General features: G+C 38.9%; 1 protein-coding gene across 1 annotated transcript in view; it reads right to left on the reverse strand.

Moving 5' to 3' along the window:
- DENND2B (DENN domain containing 2B) overlaps positions 1 to 19,116 on the reverse strand; it is a 217,600-nt gene that overhangs the window by 198,271 nt on the left and 213 nt on the right. The window lies entirely within an intron of this gene.

Consider the following 19,116-nt stretch of genomic DNA (forward strand, 5'->3'; position numbering starts at 1 on the left):
AAAGATCAAAAGAGACAAAGAAGGCCATTACATAATGGTAAAGGGATCAATTCAACAAGAAGAGCTAACTATCCTAAATATATATGCACCCAATACAGAAGCACCCAGATTCATAAAACAAGTCCTTAGAGACCTACAAAGAAATTTAGACTCCCACACAATAATAATGGGAGACTTTAACACCCCACTATCAACATTAGACAGATCAACGGGACAGAAAGTTAACAAGGATATCCAGGAATTGAACTCAGCTCTGCACCAAGCGGACCTAATAGACATCTACAGAACTCTCCACCCCAAATCAACAGAATATACTTTCTTCTCAGCACCACACCGCACTTATTCGAAAATTGACCACATAGTTGGAAGTAAAGCACTCCTCAGCAAATGTAAAAGAACAGAAATTGTAACAAACTGTCTCTCAGACGACAGAGCAATCAAACTACAACTCAGGATTAAGAAACTCACTCAAAACTGTTCAACTACATGGAAACTGAACAACCTGCTCCTGAAGGACTACTGGGTACATAATGAAATGAAGGCAGAAATAAAGATGTTCTTTGAAACCAATGAGAACAAAGACACAACATACCAGAGTCTCTGGGACACATTTAAAGCAGTGTGCAGAGGGAAACTTATAGCACTAAATGCCCACAAGAGAAAGCAGGAAAGATCTAAAATTGATCTAAAACCCTAACATCACAATTAAAAGAACTAGAAAAGCAAGAGCAAACACATTCAAAAGCTAGCAGAAGGCAAGAAATAACTAAGATCAGAGCAGAACTGAAGGCGACAGAGACACAAAAAAACCTTCAAAAAATCAATGAATCCAGGAGCTGGTTTTTTGAAAAGATCAACAAAATTGATAGACCACTAGCAAGACTAATAAAGAAGACAAGAGAGAAGAATCAAATAGACACAATAAAAAATGATAAAGGGGATATCACCACCGATCCCACAGAAATACAAACTACCATCAGAGAATACTATAAACACCTCTACGCAAATAAACTAGAAAATCTAGAAGAAATGGATAAATTTCTGGACACATACACCCTCCCAAGACTAAACTAGGAAGAAGTTGAATCCCTGAATAGACCAATAACAGGCTCTGAAATTGAGGCAATAATTAATAGCTTACCAACCAAAAAAAGTCCAGGACCAAATGGATTCACAGTCGAATTCTACCAGAGGTACAAGGAGGAGCTGGTACCATTCCTTCTGAAACTATTCCAATCAATAGAAAAAGAGGGAATCCTCCCTAACCCATTTTATGAGGCCAGCATCATTCTGATACCAAAGCCTGGCAGAGACACAACAAAAAAAGAGAATTTTAGACCAATATCCCTAGTGAACATCAATGCAAAAATCCTCAGTAAAATACTGGCAAACCGAATCCAGCAGCACATCGAAAAGCTTATCCACCATGATCAAGTGGGCTTCATCCCTGGGATGCAAGGCTGGTTCAACATACGCAAATCAATAAACATAATCCAGCATATAAACAGAACCAAAGACAAAAACCACATGACTATCTCAATAGATGCAGAAAAGGCCTTTGACAAAATTCAACAGCCTTTCATGCTAAAAACTCTCAATAAATTAGGTATTGATGGGACGTATCTCAAAATAATAAGAGCTACTTATGACAAACCCACAGCCAATATCATACTGAATGGGCAAAAACTGGAAGCATTCCCTTTGAAAACCGGCACAAGACAGGGATGCCCTCTCTCACCACTCCTATTCAACATAGTGTTGAAAGTTCTGGCCAGGGCAATCAGGCAGGAGAAAGAAATAAATGGTATTCAATTAGGAAAAGAAGAAGTCAAATTGTCCCTGTTTGCAGATGACATGATTGTATGTTTAGAAAACCCCATCGTCTCAGCCCAAAATCTCCTTAAGCTGATAAGCAACTTCAGCAAAGTCTCAGGATACAAAATCAATGTGCAAAAATCACAGCATTCTTATACACCAATAACAGACAAACAGAGAGCCAAATCATGAGTGAACTCCCATTCACAACTGCTTCAAAGAGAATAAAATACCTAGTAATCCAACTTACAAGGGATGTGAAGGACCTCTTCAAGGAGAACTACAAACCGTTGCTCAACGAAACAAAAGAGGACACAAACAAATGGAAGAACATTCCATGCTCATGGATAGGAAGAATCAATATTGTGAAAATGGCCATACTACCCAAGGTAATTTATAGATTCAATGCCATCCCCATGAAGCTACCAACGACTTTCTTCACAGAATTGGAAAAAACTACTGTAAAGTTCATATGGAACCAAAAAAGAGCCCACATTGCCAAGTCAATCCTAAGCCAAAAGAACAAAGCTGGAGGCATCATGCTACCTGACTTCAAACTATACTACAAGGCTACAGTAACCAAAACAGCATGGTACTGGTACCAAAACAGAGATCTAGACCAATGGAACAGAACAGAGCCCTCAGAAATAATACCAGACATCTACAACCATCTGATCTTTGACGAACCTGACAAAAACAAGAAATGGGGAAAGGATTCCCTATTTAATAAATGGTGCTGGGAAAACTTGCTAGCCATATGTAGAAAGCTGAAACTGGATCCCTTCCTTACACCTTATACAAAAATTAATTCAAGATGGATTAAAGACTTAAATGTTCGACCTAAAACCATAAAAACCCTAGAAGAAAACTTAGGCAATACCATTCAGGACATAGGCATAGGCAAGGACTTCATATCTAAAACACCAAAAGCAATGGCAACAAAAGCGAAAATTGACAAATGGGATCTAATTAAACTAAAGAGCTTCTGCACAGCAAAAGAAACTACCATCAGAGTGAACAGGCAACCTACAAAATGGGAGAAAATTTTTGCAACCTACTCATCTGACAAAGGGCTAATATCCAGAATCTACAATGAACTCCAACAAATTTACAAGAAAAAAACAAACAACCCCATCAAAAAGTGGGCAAAGGATATGAACAGACACTTCTCAAAAGAAGACATTTATGCAGCCAACAGACACATCAAAAAATGCTCACCATCACTGGCCATCAGAGAAATGCAAATCAAAACCACAATGAGATACCATCTCACACCAATTAGAATGGCGGTCATTAAAAAGTCAGGAAACAACAGGTGCTGGAGAGGATGTGGAGAAATAGGAACACTTTTACACTGTTGGTGGGACTGTAAACTAGTTCAAACATTGTGGAAGAGAGTGTGGCAATTCCTCAAGGATCCAGAACTAGAAATACCATTTGACCCAGTGATCCCATTTCTGGGTATATACCCAAAGGATTATAAATCATGCTGCTATAAAGACACATGCACACGTATGTTTATTGCGGCACTATTCACAATAGCAAAGACTTGGAACCAACCCAAATGTCCATCAATGATAGACTGGATTAAGAAAATGTGGCACATATATACCATGGAATACTATGCAGCCATAAAAAAGGATGAGTTCATGTCCTTTGTAGGGACACGGATGAAGCTGGAAACCATCATTCTCAGCAAACTATCACAAAGACAAAAAACCAAACACCGCATGTTCTCACTCATAGGTGGGAAGTGAACAATGAGAACACTTGGACACAGGAAGGGGAACATCACACACCAGGGCCTGTTGTGGGGTAGGGGGGTGGGAGGGATAGCATTAGGAGATATACCTAATGTAAATGACGAGTTAATGGGTGCAGCACACCAACATGGCACATGTATACATATGTAACAAACCTGCACGTTGTGCACATGTACCCTAGAACTTAAAGTATAAAAAAAATTTTAAAAAAAATGGATGGACATTCCGCAATATACTACAACATGGATGAAACTTTACGACATTATACTAAATGAAATAAGCCAGTCACGAGAAGAAAAATACTGTATGAGTCCACTTATATGAGGTACTTACAGTAGTCAAAATAATAGAGACAGAAGACAGATTGGTGGCTTCCAGGGGCTGGGAGTAGGGAAGAATAGACAATTATTGTTTAACGAATACAGAGTTTCAGTTTTACAAGATGAAAAGAAGTATAGAGATGGATGGTGGTGATAGTTGCACATTTTGAATATATTTAATACCACTGAAGTATACACTTAAAAATGCTTAGAAAACTATATTTTATTTTGTGTGTTTTTTTATTTTTTATTTTTATTTTTTGTTAAAGAAAGGTTTATTCTTTTAGAGATGGGGGTTCCGCTATGTTGACCAGGCTGGTCTTGAACTTCTGGCCTCAAGAGATCCTCCCATCTCTGGCTCCCAAGGTGCTCGAATTACAGGTATGAACCACCATGACCGGCCTATTTTATGTGTATTTTACCACAATTTTAGAAATTGGAAAAAAAATGTGGAGGGTATGGTATATGACTGGAAAAAGAAGTCACAAAACTGAGGGATATAAATACTTGAATGCAAACAGTAATATAATCACAGTATAACTTACATTTATTAAATAGAGTATACCCATAATTATAATTAGGTAAACTTAGTATAAGCTAGGAGATATAAAATTTTCTCTAGAACTGGTATAATACTAACCCTGGAGATCTGGCTACCTACTCTACTTGCTAGAGCTTCCTGGAGTGGAAATACATTCCAGTATCAATGCACAGAAGAGGTTTAATAAATGTCCATGGAACAAATAAATAAATATTGATGGAAGGAATAAATATAAGCTTTATCCTAAAAGAATATATAAAAGTAAGCCTTAAGAGAGTCCAGAATTATATCACAAAAAAGGTTAGGAGGAATATAAAATTGGAAGGGAACAGGAATTGGAATATATTAATTTTTGAAAACTGCTGGATCTGTCGGGAAATACTGTGACCTTTTTTAGGTCACTAAAACTCTACACAAGGAACACTTCCAGAATGGCATAGTGAGGAGGCTGGCAAATCGTTTAACATAAAGCCGCAATAAAACTGTACAGGTAGTCTCTGACTTATAAAGATTTGACTTCGGTTTTTTCAACTTTATGATGGTGCAAAAGCAATATACATTCAGTGGAAACCATATGTTGAATACCCACACAACCATTCTGTTTTTCACTTTCAGTACAGCATTCAATAAATTACATGAGATATTCAACACTTTATTATAAAATAGGCTTTGTGTTAGATGATTTTGCCCAACTTTAGGCTAATGTGAGTGTTCTGAACATGTTTAAGGTAGGCTATGCTAAGATACGATGTTTTCAGATAGGTGTATTAAATGCATTTTTGACTTACAATATTTTCAACTTAAAATGAGTTTATCAGGATATAACTCCTTCCTAGGTCAAAGAACATCTGTACAAAACTGTTAAAACAATCATTTCAGGATTTTGAAAACTGAGACTGGGCTCGGTGGCTCATGCCTTGTAATCCCAGCACTTTGGGAGGCCAAGGCGGGTGGATCACCTGAGGTCAGCAGTTCAAGACCAGCCTGGCCAACATGGCGAAGCCCATCTCTACAAAAAATACAAAAAAAATTTTTTTTTTTAAAAACTAGCCAGGTGTGGTGGTGCATGCCTGTAATCCCAGCTACTCTGGAGGCTGAGGCAGGAGAATCACTTGAACCCGGGAGGCAGAGGTTACAGTAAGCAGAGATTGCGCCACTGCACTCCAGCCTGGGCAACAGAGCACGACACCATCTCAAACAAACAAACTAACTAACTAACCAGAGGCACATGACAAATTAAAAAGCATTTATAAAGGAAAAAAATCAAACTATTGAACCTTGGTAAGAAAAATATGAATCTATGGTATTTTGAGTTTTTGCAATCCCTACACTCCCTACCCCCAGCTCCAACATAGTAGTTCTATCAGGACAGTAAAATCCATGAAAATCAGCAGCTCTGCAATGTAATTTGGTGCATAGGACATTGTCAGAAACATGTGATCTTGGTAGTAAATGATCAGGGAAAGTCAATATCATTGCTGGCTGAAACTGTAGTTTTGGTTGGGAAAAGTAACAGACCAGCCAGAAATTTAATAGGCAGATCTAGGGAAAAAGACAGCCATAGTGGAACCTGATACCCTTGGTGGTCTGGAAGGCTGTGTACAAGGGCACGGTTATGCACATGCCCAGGAGAGACCACAGTGGGCTACAGATTTCAATGGCTGAATGTGAAGCCTTGCATACATAGAAATAAAATTGGGGCAGACTTGACTGAACTCTATTTCTTTGTTCTTGTTTTTTTAGAGGTAGGGTCTCACATGGTTGCTCAGGCTGGAGCACAGTGGCACAATTACAGCTCACTATAACCTTGAACTCCTAGGCTCCAGCAATCCTCCCACAGTTAGGACCACAGGCATGCACCACCATGCCCAGCTAATTTTTTAAAAATTTCTTGCGAAGACAGGGCCTTGCTGTGTTACCTGGGCTGGCCTCAAGCTGTTGGTATCATGCAGTCTTCCTGTCATGGCCTCCTAAAGCACTGGGATTATAGGCATAAGCCATAGCCACATGGCCTTGACTGAACTTTAAAGGTGTTCCCCAAACTATACACAGATTAATTAGCAAACAGTAGAGCCTTACTAGGCTCAAGATGTTTAAGTACAATCTCTTCCCAGTTATTAGCTGACCACTAGCTATGTTGACCCAGGGGCAATTCCTAGGAAAGAGATTTAAAAATAAAACCAAATTGGGCACAGCAGCACACATCTGTAGTCCCAGCTACTCAAGAGGCTGAGGAGGGACAACTGCTTCAGCGCAGAAATTCAAGTCCAGCCTGCACAACATAGTGAGACCCCATCTCATAAAAAATAAAATAAAATGAAGTAAAATAAAATAAAAACAAGAATTAGAAAGGAAAAAATTAAGAAAAGATGTCAGTAGCTACACACTACAGGAAAGAAAGACTACAGAATCAACCCCGTTAACTCACTAAACAAATAAACCAACAAACAGCAGCAATATCAAAAATCCTTAGGTAGGGATGGAAATCAGAATCTGGAGTTGCCATCATACATTATTTAAAACAGCGATCAGCAAACTACAACTCATGGCCCAATTATGGCCTACTGCTTGTTTTTTAAATAAAGGTTTATTGGAAGACATCTACTTTCATTCATTTACATATTGTCTATGGCTACTTTCACATTACAATAGAGACCACATTGACTACAAAGCCTAAAATATTTTCTATCCAGTCATTTATAGAAATAAATTGTTGACCTCTGATCTAAAATGTTCAGTTTTCAACAAAAAATTGCAAGACATACAAACAAAAAGTGGGGCCCATATATAGAAAAAGGTGCAGTTAATGGAAACTTTTTCTGTAGGGGCCCAAATGTTAGACTTAGCAGACAGACTTCAAGGCAGCTGTTGTAAATATGTTCAAAGAACTAAAGAAAACAAAATTTTAAAAATTAAAGTATGGCAACAGTGACAATATAGAATATCAATAAAAATAAATTATAAAACAAAACAAATTATGGAGTGAAAAGAAAATAATTGAAATGAAAATTCACTAGAGGGGCTCAAGAGCAAATTTCAGATTACAGAAAAAGAATCAGTAAACTGGAAGATAGATAGATCAATAGAGATTATACAATTTGAAGAAAAGAAAAGAAAAAGAATGAAGAAAAATGAACAAGCCTCAGAGATTTGAGAGATACCACCAAACATACTAACATATGTATAAGGAGAGTCCCAGAAAAAGAAGAGAAAGAGAAAGGGACAGAAAAAAATGGCTGAAAACTTTATAAATTTGAGGAAAAACAAATCTACACATCCAAGAAGATCAAAAGAACTCCAAGTACCATAAACACAAAGAGGTCCATACCTAGAAACACCAAGGTTAAACTGTTGAAAGGCAAACACAAAGAGAAAATCTTGTAAGCAGCAGAGAAAAGTGGATCATCATTTACAAAGAAACCACAATCAAATTAACAGATGACTTTTTATCAGAAACAACAGAGACTAAGAAAGCAGGGATCAAAGTGTTTAAAGGAAAAAAAAAATCTGCCAACTAAAAATTTTATATCCAGCAAAAATAGCCTTATAGCCTTTAAATGTGAAGGTGAAATAAAGACAGTTGATAAACAAAGACTGAAAAAATTTGTTGTTGCCAGCTTGCCTTACAAGAAATACTGAAGGAAGTTTTTCAGGCTGATGGAAAGTGATTTTAGAGTTACTCAAATCTACAGAGAGGAATGTAGAACATCAGAAATAGTAAATATATTGGTTAATATAAAGGACTCTATACATATGTTTCTCACTTTTTCTCATAACTTCTTTAAAAGCCATAAGAGCATATAAAGCAATAATTGTAACACTGTCTTGTTGGATCTGTAACATATATGAATGTAATATAACAGCATGAGAAGGGGGGATATGGAGTTATATTGGACAGAAGTGTCTATATTTCACCTAAATTAAGTTTATATCAATCAGTAGATTGTGGCCAGGCATGGTGGCTCACACCTGTAATCTCAGCACTTTAGGAGGCCGAGATGGGTGGACTGTTTGAGCCCAGGAGTTAGAGGCCAGCCTGGGCAACATGATGAGACACCATCTCTATAAAAAATGTAAAAATTGGCCCAGCACAGTGGCTCACGCCTATAATCCCAACACTTTGGGAGGCCGAGGCGGGTAGATCACAAGGTCAGGAGTTCGAGACTGTCCTGGCTAACACGGTGAAACCCCGTCTCTACTAAAAATACAAAAAAAAAAAAAATTAGCTGGGTGTGGTGGTGGTGCCTGTAGTCCCAGCTACTCAGGAGGCTGAGGCAGGAGAATGACATGAACCCGGGAGGTGGAGCTTGCAGTGCCCAAGGTCGTGCCACTGCACTCCAGCCTGGGCGACAGAGTGAGACTCCATCTCAAAAAAAAAAAAAAAAAAATTAGCCAGGTGTGTTGGCGTGTGCCTGTGGTCCCAGCTACTCAGGAGGTTGAGTTGGGGGGATCACTTGAGCCTAGGAGGTGGAGGCAACAGTGAGCCACACTTGCGCCATTGCAGTCCAGCCTGGGTGGCAGAGCAAGACCCTGTCTCAAAAAAAAAAAAAGAAAGAAGTAGATCGTGACAAATAAAGATGCATATTCTAATTCCTAGAACAATCACTAAAAAATTTTTTTAAAGGCCGGGTGCGGTGGCTCATGCCTGTAATCCCAGCACTTTGGGAGGCCGAGGTGGGTAGATCACCTGAGGTCAGGAGTTCAAGACCAGCATGGCCAATATGGTGAAACCCTCTCTCTACTAAAAATACAAAAAAATTAGCCAGGCATAGTGGTGGGCACCTGTAACCCCAGCTACTTGAGCAGCTGAGGCAGGAGAATCACTTGAATCTGGGAGGCAGAGGTTGCAGTGAGCCGAGATCATGCCATTGCACTCCAGCCTAGGCAACAAGAGTGAAACCTTGGTCTTGAACTCCTGACCTTAACTGATCTGCCCACCTTGGCCTCCCAAAGTGCTGGAATTACAGGCGTGAGCCACCACACCTGGCCCAAATTTTAATATCTTTTCAAAGAACCAACTGTTGGTTTCATTGATTTTTCTCTATTTTTCTACTTTGTATTTTATTGATTTCTACCTAATCATCATTATACCCTTCCTCCTGCTTCCTTTGGGTTTAGTTTGTTCTTCTTTTCCTAGTTTTTCTTTTTCTTTCTTTTCTTTTCTTTTCTTTTTTTTTTTTTTTTTTGAGATGGAGTCTTGCTCTATTGCCCAGGCTGGAGTGCAGTGGTGCAATCTCAGCTCACTGCAACCTCCACCTCCCAGGTTCAAGTGATTCTCCTGCCTCAGCCTCCCGAGTAGCTGGGATTACAGGTGCATGCCACCACATCTGGCTAATTTTTGTATTTTTAGTAGAGACGGGGTTTCACCATGTTGGCCAGGCTGGTCTCGAACTCCTGACCTCAACTGATCTGCCCACCTCAGCCTCCCAAAGTGCTGGGATTACAAGCATGAGCCAGCATGCCCGGCTCCTAGTTTCTTAAGGTAGAAACTTAGGTTATTGATTTGACCTATATTCTTTTCTAATATAGACATCTAAAGCTTGGCACTTCCCTCTAATCACAGTTTTAGCTGCCTCTCATACATTTTGATATATCACATCTTTGTTTCCTTTCAGTTCAAAACATTTCCTAGTTTCCCTTGTGATTTAGTCTATGACCCATGGATTATTTACCTATGCGTTGTTTAATTTGCAAATATTTGTAGATTCCCCAAATTGTCTATTGTTGATTTCTAATTTAATTCTATTGTGGGTAGAGAACATACCTGGTATGATTTCAGTCCTTTTAAATTCATTGAGACTTGTTTTATGACCTAATAATGGTCTGTTTTGGAGAATGTTCTGGGAGTATTTGACAAGAATGTGTATTGTGCTATTGTTGGATGGAGTTTCCTATAGGTGTCAAGGTGGCTGACAGTATCGTTTAGCCTTCTATATCTTTGCTGATTTTCTGTTTGTTCTATCAGTTATTAAGACTGAGGATTGGGCTGGGCACGGTGGCTCATGCCTGTAATCCCAGCATTTTGGGAGGCTGAGGTGGGCGAATCATGAGGTCAGGAGTTCAAGACCAGCCTGACCAACACGGTGAAACCCTGTCTCTATTAAAAATACAAAAAGTAGCCGGGTGTGGTGGCACGCGCCTGTAATCCCAGCTACTCAGGAGGCTGAGGTAGGAGAATCACTTGAACCCAGGAGGCAGAGGCTGCAGTGAGCTGAGATCACACCACTGCACTCCAGTGTAGGTGACAGAGTGAGACTCCATCTCAAAAAAAAAAAAAAAAGAGTGAGGTGTTGAAGTCCCCAACTACCACTGTTGAATTGTCTATTTCTTGCTTGAATTTTGTCAGTTTTTGCTTTGGTATTTTGAGGCTGTGTTGTTAGGGTCATGTACATTTGCAAGTGCTATATCTTCCAGATGTAATGATTTGTCATTTTTGTGATTCTGATATGCCCCACTTTGTCTAGTGATATTTCTTGTCTTCAAGTCTATTTTGTCTGATGTTAATACATTTACTTCAGCAATCTTTTTTTGGCAAGGGGAGTCGCTTAAAGCAACACAAGTTTATTATCTTAAGGTTCTGGAAGTCAGATGTCTGAAATGGTTTTCACTGGACTACAATCAAGGTATCTGCAGGATTCTGTTTCTTTACTCCAGCAATATTATGCTTATAGTTTACATGGTATATCTTTTTCTTTAACTTTCAACTTATTTGTGTGTTTGACTATAAGTTGTGTTTCTTGTAGACAGACAGTTGGATCTAAGCCAGTCTGACAATCTCTGCTTATAGAATGGGCTGTTGAGACCATTCACATTTAACATTATTATCGAGATGGCTGAATTTACATTTGATCACAGTGGTGCAATCTCGGCTCACTGCAACCTCCACCTCCCAGGTTCAAGCAATTCTCCTGCCTCAGCCTCCTGAGTAGCTGAGACTACAGGCATGCGCCACCACACCCAGCTAATTTTTGTATTTTTAGTAGAGATGGGGCTTCACCATGTTGGACAGGATGGTCTCGATCTCTTGACCTCATGATCCACCCACCTTGGCTTCCCAAAGTGCTGGGATTACAGGCATGAGCCACCACACCTGGCCATCTGTATTTTTTAAAGTTTTATTTATTTATTTATTTTTTGAGACAGAGTTTCACTCCAGCATAGGCCAACATGGTGAAACCCTGTCTCTACTAAATATACAAAAATTAGTCGGGTGTGGTGGCATGCACCTGTAATCCCTGTTACTTGGGTGGATTAGGCAGAAGAATCAATCACTTGAACCTGGGAGGCGGAGATTGTAGTGAGCTGAGATTGCACTACTGCATTCCAGCCTGGGTGACAGAGTGAGACTGTCTCAAAAGAAAAAAAAAGGATATTACAAGTTGACAAAACTTTAACTAGACTGACCAAGATGTTAAAAAAAAAAAAAAAAAAGCAAGAGAGAGAAGGCACAGATTACCATAATCAGATCTTAAAGAAATAAAAAAGATTGTGAGGGAATATTACCAATAGCTTTTTGTCAACAAATTAGACAACTTAAGTGACTGGGCAAATTCTTAGACACCAAGTATTGAAACTGACTCAAGATGGAATAGAAGATCACTTGAGTTCAGGAGTTCAAGACCAGCCTGGGCAACATGGCAAAACCACATCTCTACTACAAAAAGTACCAAAAAAATTAGGTGGGCCTAGTGGTGATGCATGCCTGTAGTCCCAGCTACTCGAGTGGCTAAGGTGGGAGAATCACCTGAGCCCAGGGAGTTGAGGCTGTAGTGAGCTGTGATTATGCCACGGCACTCCAGCCTTGGCAACAGGAGTGAGACCTTGTCTCAAAAAAAAAAAAAAAAAAAAAAGAAGGAATAGAAAATATAAGTAGACCTAAAACAAGGAAAAAAGTTGAATTAGTAATTAAAAATCTTCCCACAAAGTAAAGCCCAGGCCCAGATGGTTTTAATCAAATGCTTAAGAATAATACCAATTCTACACACTCTTCCAAGAAATAGAACATTCCTAAATCATTCTATAAGGCCAATATTATCCTAATACCAAAAGACACAAAGACCAGAAACAAGAAAACTAGAGATCAATATCCCTCATGAATATACACAGAAAAATCCTCAGTAAAATACTAGCAAACCAAATTCAACAACGAAAGATTGGCTTAATATCCAAAAATCAATTCATTCAACACATGTTAATAGAATAAAAAATAAAAACCACATGATCACATCAATGGACATACAAAAAACGTCTGAAAAACTTCAAAAATCATTCATGATAAAAACTTTCACTAAACCAGGAATAGAAGGAAACTTCTTCTCAACCTGAAGAAGCTAATTAAAAATAATTTTTAAAGATAGATGAGAACTTCCTTAACCTAATAAAGAGTATCTACAAAAAAACAAATATCATACTTAATGGTAAAAGGCTGAATGTTCTGCCTCTAAAATTGGGAACAAGGCAAAGATGTTCCCCTTGCCACTTCTATTCAACATTGTACTACAGGTTCAAGCCAGTGCGATTAGGCAAGAAAAAGAAGTCCTGATTGAAAAGAAAAAAGTTAGCCTTTCTTTATTCACAGAAGATCTGATCCAGTATACAGAAAATCCTAAAGAATCCACAAAAAAATTCTTAGAACAAGTAAATGAGTTTAACAAGGTTACAGGATACAATATCAATATGAAAAAGTCAACTATATTTCTATACACTAGTAATAATTTCATCTGAAAATGAAATTGAGAAAACAATTTCATTCACAACAGCATAAAAATACTTAATAAATTTGTTAAAAGAAGTGCAATATGTACACTAATCACTACACAATATTAGTAAAAAAAATAAAGAAAACTGAAATAAATGGACAGACATTCCATGTTCATAAATTCAAAAACCCAATATTGTTAAGATTGCAATTCTTCCTCAATTAATCTGTGAATTCAATATAATCTCTATCAAAACATCAACAGTTGTTACACAGAAGTTGACAAACTGAATTTAAATTTTATGGAAATAATGACTGTACTAGAATATAAAAATAATTTTGAAAATGAAGAACATAGTTGATATACTTCCCAATTTCCAAACTTACTACAAAACTACAATAATCAATACAGTATAATATGGCATAAGGACAGACATATAGATCAATAGAACATAATTTAAAGTCTAAAAGCTAACTCTTACATTTATGGTGAATTGATTTTTGACAAAGTTGCCAAGGGAATTTAATGAGAAAAGGATAGTCTTTTATACAAATGATACTGAGAAAATTGAACATCTGCATGAAAAGAAATGAATCTAGACCCTTACCTCATAATGCACATAAAAATTAATGCAAAATGGCATAGAGTTAAATGTAAAAACTAAAATATACAACTATTAGGAGGAAACATAGAAAAAATCTTCAAAAAAAATTTTCATGACCTTAGGTTAGGCAAAGATTTCTTAGATATAACACCAAAAGCACAATTTATAAAGGAAAAAAATTAATAAGTTGGAGTTCATCAAAACTTTAAATGTTAGTACTTCAAATTACACCACTAAGAAAATGAAATACATGACACAGCCTGGGAGAAAATACTTATGAATCATACATCTGGTGTGGGTGCGGCGGCTCAAGTCTGTATTCCCAAGAGAAATGAAAACATGTGTCCACACAAAGTCTTACTATGCATTATCAGTCAAAATAGCCCCAAACCAGAAACATTTCAGATGACCATCAACCAGTAAATGGATAAACAAAATGTAATATATTCATATAACGGGATAGTATTCAGTCATAAAAAAGAATGAAGTATTGATACATGCTACGACATGTGTGAGCCTCAAAAACATTATGCTAATTAAAAGAAGCCAGGCAAAAAAAGGTCACATATTATCAGATTCCATCTATATGAATTGTCCAGAAAAGGCGAATTCATAAGACAGCAAGCAGAAGACTGGTCACCTAGGACCAGAGGCAGGAGCTGAGAACTGACTGCATATGGTATACACTAGGGATTTTTCTCAGGTAATGACAGTGTTCCAAAACTGCACTTTGGTGATGTTGACAACTCTGTAAATTTACAAAAAATACTGAAATATACACTTAAGACAGGTAAATTTTATCATATGTACATTATACCTCAATAAAGAAGTCTTTTTTTTCTTTTTTTTTTTTTTTTTTGAGATGGAGTCTCGCTCTGTCACCCAGGCTGGGGTGCAGTGGCGCGACCTTGGCTCACTGCAAGCTCTGCCTCTCAGGTTCACGCCGTTCTCCTGCCTCAGCCTCCCCTGGGACTACAGGCTCCTGCCACCACGCCCAGCTAATTTTTTGTATTTTTAATAGAGATGGGGTTTCACCGTGTTAGCCAGGATGGTCTCAATCTCCTGGCCTCGTGATCTGCCCATCTCAGCCTCCCAAAGTGCTGGGATTACAGGTGTGAGCCACCGCGCCCAGCCAAGAAGTCTTCAAAAAAAAAAAAAAAAAAACTCTACATAAATTTCAACTGTTTATATTAAATATCTTCCAAATACTATTCCTTTGATCTCTGACTTTTAAAAATGACAAGATTTCAATCATTCCTGCTCTGCAACCAATTTTTTTAACTCCCAGTCAATTTTAAACAGATTGTGAAAGTTAATTCTCAGAAGTTTGATTCATTTTCTTTAATCTACATCATCAAGATGACAATTTTGATAATGAGTTTCTTTCATTCCCCCAATAACCCAGTGAGATGATGTAATCAGGCAAAATGAATGATCTAATGACTCAGTCTGTAATACTACCTTACAAAGCTGTGATGATTCCAAAGCTCTTAAGTCTGCTGGAGAAATAACAATACCATTTGTCAAATAAAATGATTTATACAGTTTCTGGTATGTACAGTATAAATCACTGTCTAACTCTGGCACAGTACCCACTTTTGCATCCTGGGTTTTTAACCCTTTTTGGCCCCCTTCACATAAAGAAAAGGAATTTACATTGCTCTTCACTGGACTTGTTTTTTCTCCTCAAAAAGTCCCAAATACAGCACCAGTCTCTTTCCCCATTTCACAATTAAAGACCTCTTCCAACGCATCTCCTCCAAAACATAGAACCCTGACAACTAACTTTCATCTGTTCTCATTAGTGAATTTACCCTTGTGAAGATAGAAGTCATTAAAAACTCATATCAATAGTTTATTTTTCTGTCAATACTGACAGTCTATTTCCCTGTTGACCAGGCACATTCCTAATTAGTTGCCCTCTCTCCATTTACAATTCCATTTTCAGTTCTCACCAGTGGCTTTCATTTGGCGTGGGCTATATTTGATCCACAAGGGGCCTGATGGTAGGTCATGTTCTATCATTATTCCCAGCCAATCTTAAAAAAGATAAAAAGGAATCTCTCAAGTCTCTCAATCTGTGGTTTACAGGATGAATCTTTAAAATTATAAATATGCACATATAAAAATATATTTACAAATATATTTACAAATAGAAAAATAAAAACAAATGCAAAGATTTAATTTAGAGTCTTTTGGTTTCAGTTTCATTTCAAGCATCTTCTTTCCCATAAATTTCTAAATGTTAAATTCTGAGAAAATGTAGTTACAATTGAATATTCATTACATTCATTAAAGTTCATGTAGGTAGGTGTTTTTTTAATAGAAAAGCCAACTCTTTTTTTTCTTAAGATAGGTTCTTACTCTGTTGCCCCGGCTGGAGGGCAGTGGCACGATCATAGCTCACTGCAGCCTCAACATCCTGGACTCAAGCAATCCTCCCATCTCAACCTCCCGAGTAGCTAGGACTACAGGTATGAGCCACCATGCCAGGCTAGTTTTTTAATTTTTTAAAAAATAGAGACAGGGGTCTCACTATGTTGCCCAGGCTGCTGTCAAACTCCTGGCCTCAAGTAATCCTTCCACCTCAACCTCCTGAACTTCTGGGATTACAGGTGTGAGCCACCACAAAGCCACCTCTTTATGTGGGCTAACAGAAGTCTATTTAACTTAAAAATTAAATCAGAGTAATTTCAACAAATGGCTACTGAACACCCGCTACTTAACAGGTCCTGGAATGTTTAGGGACAAATAAGGAACAGTTTCTGCCTTCAAGGAATTGAAAGGCTATTGGGAGAGAAGAAACCATAACTACACATAATTTAAATTAGATTGGAAAAGTACACACAAAAAATTTTTTTAAGGCTATGGCAACAGAGGTGGCAACTGGGAACCACTGGGAAAAGTTTCAAAGAGCTGACCTGACAAAAAGAAAGTAGTGCCTCAACTGGAATGACTAAAATAGAATGGGGAAGAGAGACAAATGAGATGAGGTGTGGCTATGATACTGGGTAAGTGAGAGCATATTTTGGGAGACCAGGCTGAAGCTTAAGATAATAATACTAGCTAATATTTATTGAGCACCTACTATGTACCAAGTACTATAAATGCACTTTATAGATATTAACTTACTTGATATTCACAATAACCCTATGAGGAATGTGCTAAAACCTTGAAATCCATAAAAAATAAAGAGGACCAAATTCTGTCCCACTCCAACCACACTTATTGTAAAAGCAGTTAACGGGTATCTTATCTACCTCTTCTCTCACTGATTCCTAGGCCATCAGGCCTAGCTTGAAAACTACATTCTCTGCAAAACCTTTCTTGATCCTCCCAGCTGAACATAGTCTCCTAAGCTTGATAGCATTTTATCTGTGTCAATCTTATGGCATGTCCGAATATTTTGTTCTTGGTATTATAGATTTTATGTGCATTCTTTCCTCTTTTTTATTCTCCTTTAGTCTGATCCACATTCTGTTCTCCACAACTCCTAGGGCAGTGCCTGGCACATACTAATGCTAGCTAAGTCTATGGAGCACTTATCTTTGCCGGGCACTGTGCTAAGCATTTTACAGGAATTATCTCACAGAATCCTAATGGCAACCCAATTCACACATTCAAGGGCTATTTTTAGTCCTTACTGTGACAGACAAAATAGTAAATACTAGATGCACCTTAAACTCTAAACACTACAGATACAGTCCCTTCCCTCAAGAAGCTCAGTCTAAAGAAGTTAGTACTATTGGAATCCCCAGATATAGAGATGAGGAAAAGTGAGGCTCAAAGAAGTAATATGTTTGCCCAGAACCACAGAGCAAAAAAGTGGCAGAGAGCCTGGGCAACATAGGGAGACCCTGTCTCTACGAAACATTTAAAAAATTTGCAGGGCGTGGTGGCTGAAGAAGAGGATCGCTTGAGCCCAGGAGGTCGAGGCTGCAGTGAGCCGAGATCGTGCCACTGCACTTCAGCCTGGCTGACAGGGTGATACCCTCGTTTCTTTATTAAACAAAAAAGAAGAAGAAGGAAGAAGGAAGAAGAGGAAGAAGAGGAAGAGGAAGGAGGAGGAGGAGGAAGAAGGAGAAGGAGAAGGAGAAGGAGAAGAAATGGAAAAAAAAAGATGGCAGAGCCAGAATTCAAACCAGCTCTCCCGAGTGGATATACAGGACCCCATGCACGTACAACCACTATGTTCTAAAGGAGGCACTTGATAAACCCTTATTGAAGGAAATGTTTTGGAATACCAATAAAATGAAAAAAAAATCATCTCAAGAATAATGTAGGGTTTCACTCACTGTTATTCTTTTTTATAAGGGGAAAGCAGGAAATTTGCAAAAGTTAAGTAGCATAGAAGGAGGTCGTATTGGTCGGCTACTACTCACCTGGTACCTGATAATTGCTCATCAAGCCATCTGTTGAGACTAGGTGAGGATGGAGTTTCTCTCCTTTTTCATGAACCACAGAGGAGACTTAAAGGAGGATTTATTTGTGTTCCTTAAAGTGACCCCCACTGAGCGTGTCCCTCAAAGTGGACCTTCCTAAGCATCGGCGCTTTGCTTTGCGCTGGGTGGTGCGGCTGAGTCACTAATTAGCAGTGAGAGCCTGGGCTGTATCTCCTACCAAATAACCAGCGGAGTGGAGTGACAGGTCCTTACTTAAACATGGTTTAAGTAAGCATTCACAGTTCCTTACTTAAACATGGTGCAGTCTTCCTAAAAGATGGAGTCAGACCCCAAGAGAACAGGTCTCCAAAAATATGTGAATCCGTACTTCCCACTGGAGGGGAGAGAGAGCTGCGCTGAGGGATTATGAGAGACCCTACAACTTCTCAGGCGCCCCCTGCCCCGGGGGCCAGGAACATCTGCAGACAGCCCCGCCTCCGTCTCGCCTCAATCCCGAGCTGTTCCCTTCTCCAAAGGCCACCTTGGCAGCCACACAGTTTGGCCTAATCACCTCCTCAAACAAGAGTAGCGACACCCCAAAATGTAGACCAAGCAGAAAGAGGCGCGGGAGGCACTTGCCTTATTCCCCATGATGTTTTTGTTTTGAGACGAAGTCTTCCTCTGTCGCCCAGGCTGGAGTGCAGTGGCGCGATCTCGTCTCACTGCAACCTCCGCTTCCCGGGTTCAAGCGATCCTCCCACCTCGACCCTCCCGAGTACCTGGGACTACAGATGCGCGCCACCACTCCTCCTACTGTGTGTGTGTGTGGACACGGGTTGTCGCTATGTTGCCTACCTAGCTGGTACCCCATAACCACTCCTGGCTAGTGTGTGTGTGTGTGTGTGGACACGGGTTGTCGCTATGTTGCCTACCTAGCTGGTACCCCATAACCACTCCTGGCTAGTGTGTGTGTGTGTGTGTGTGTGTGTGTC

Source organism: Homo sapiens, chromosome 11, assembly GCF_000001405.40.
Source record: "Homo sapiens chromosome 11, GRCh38.p14 Primary Assembly".
NCBI lineage: Eukaryota > Metazoa > Chordata > Mammalia > Primates > Hominidae > Homo > Homo sapiens.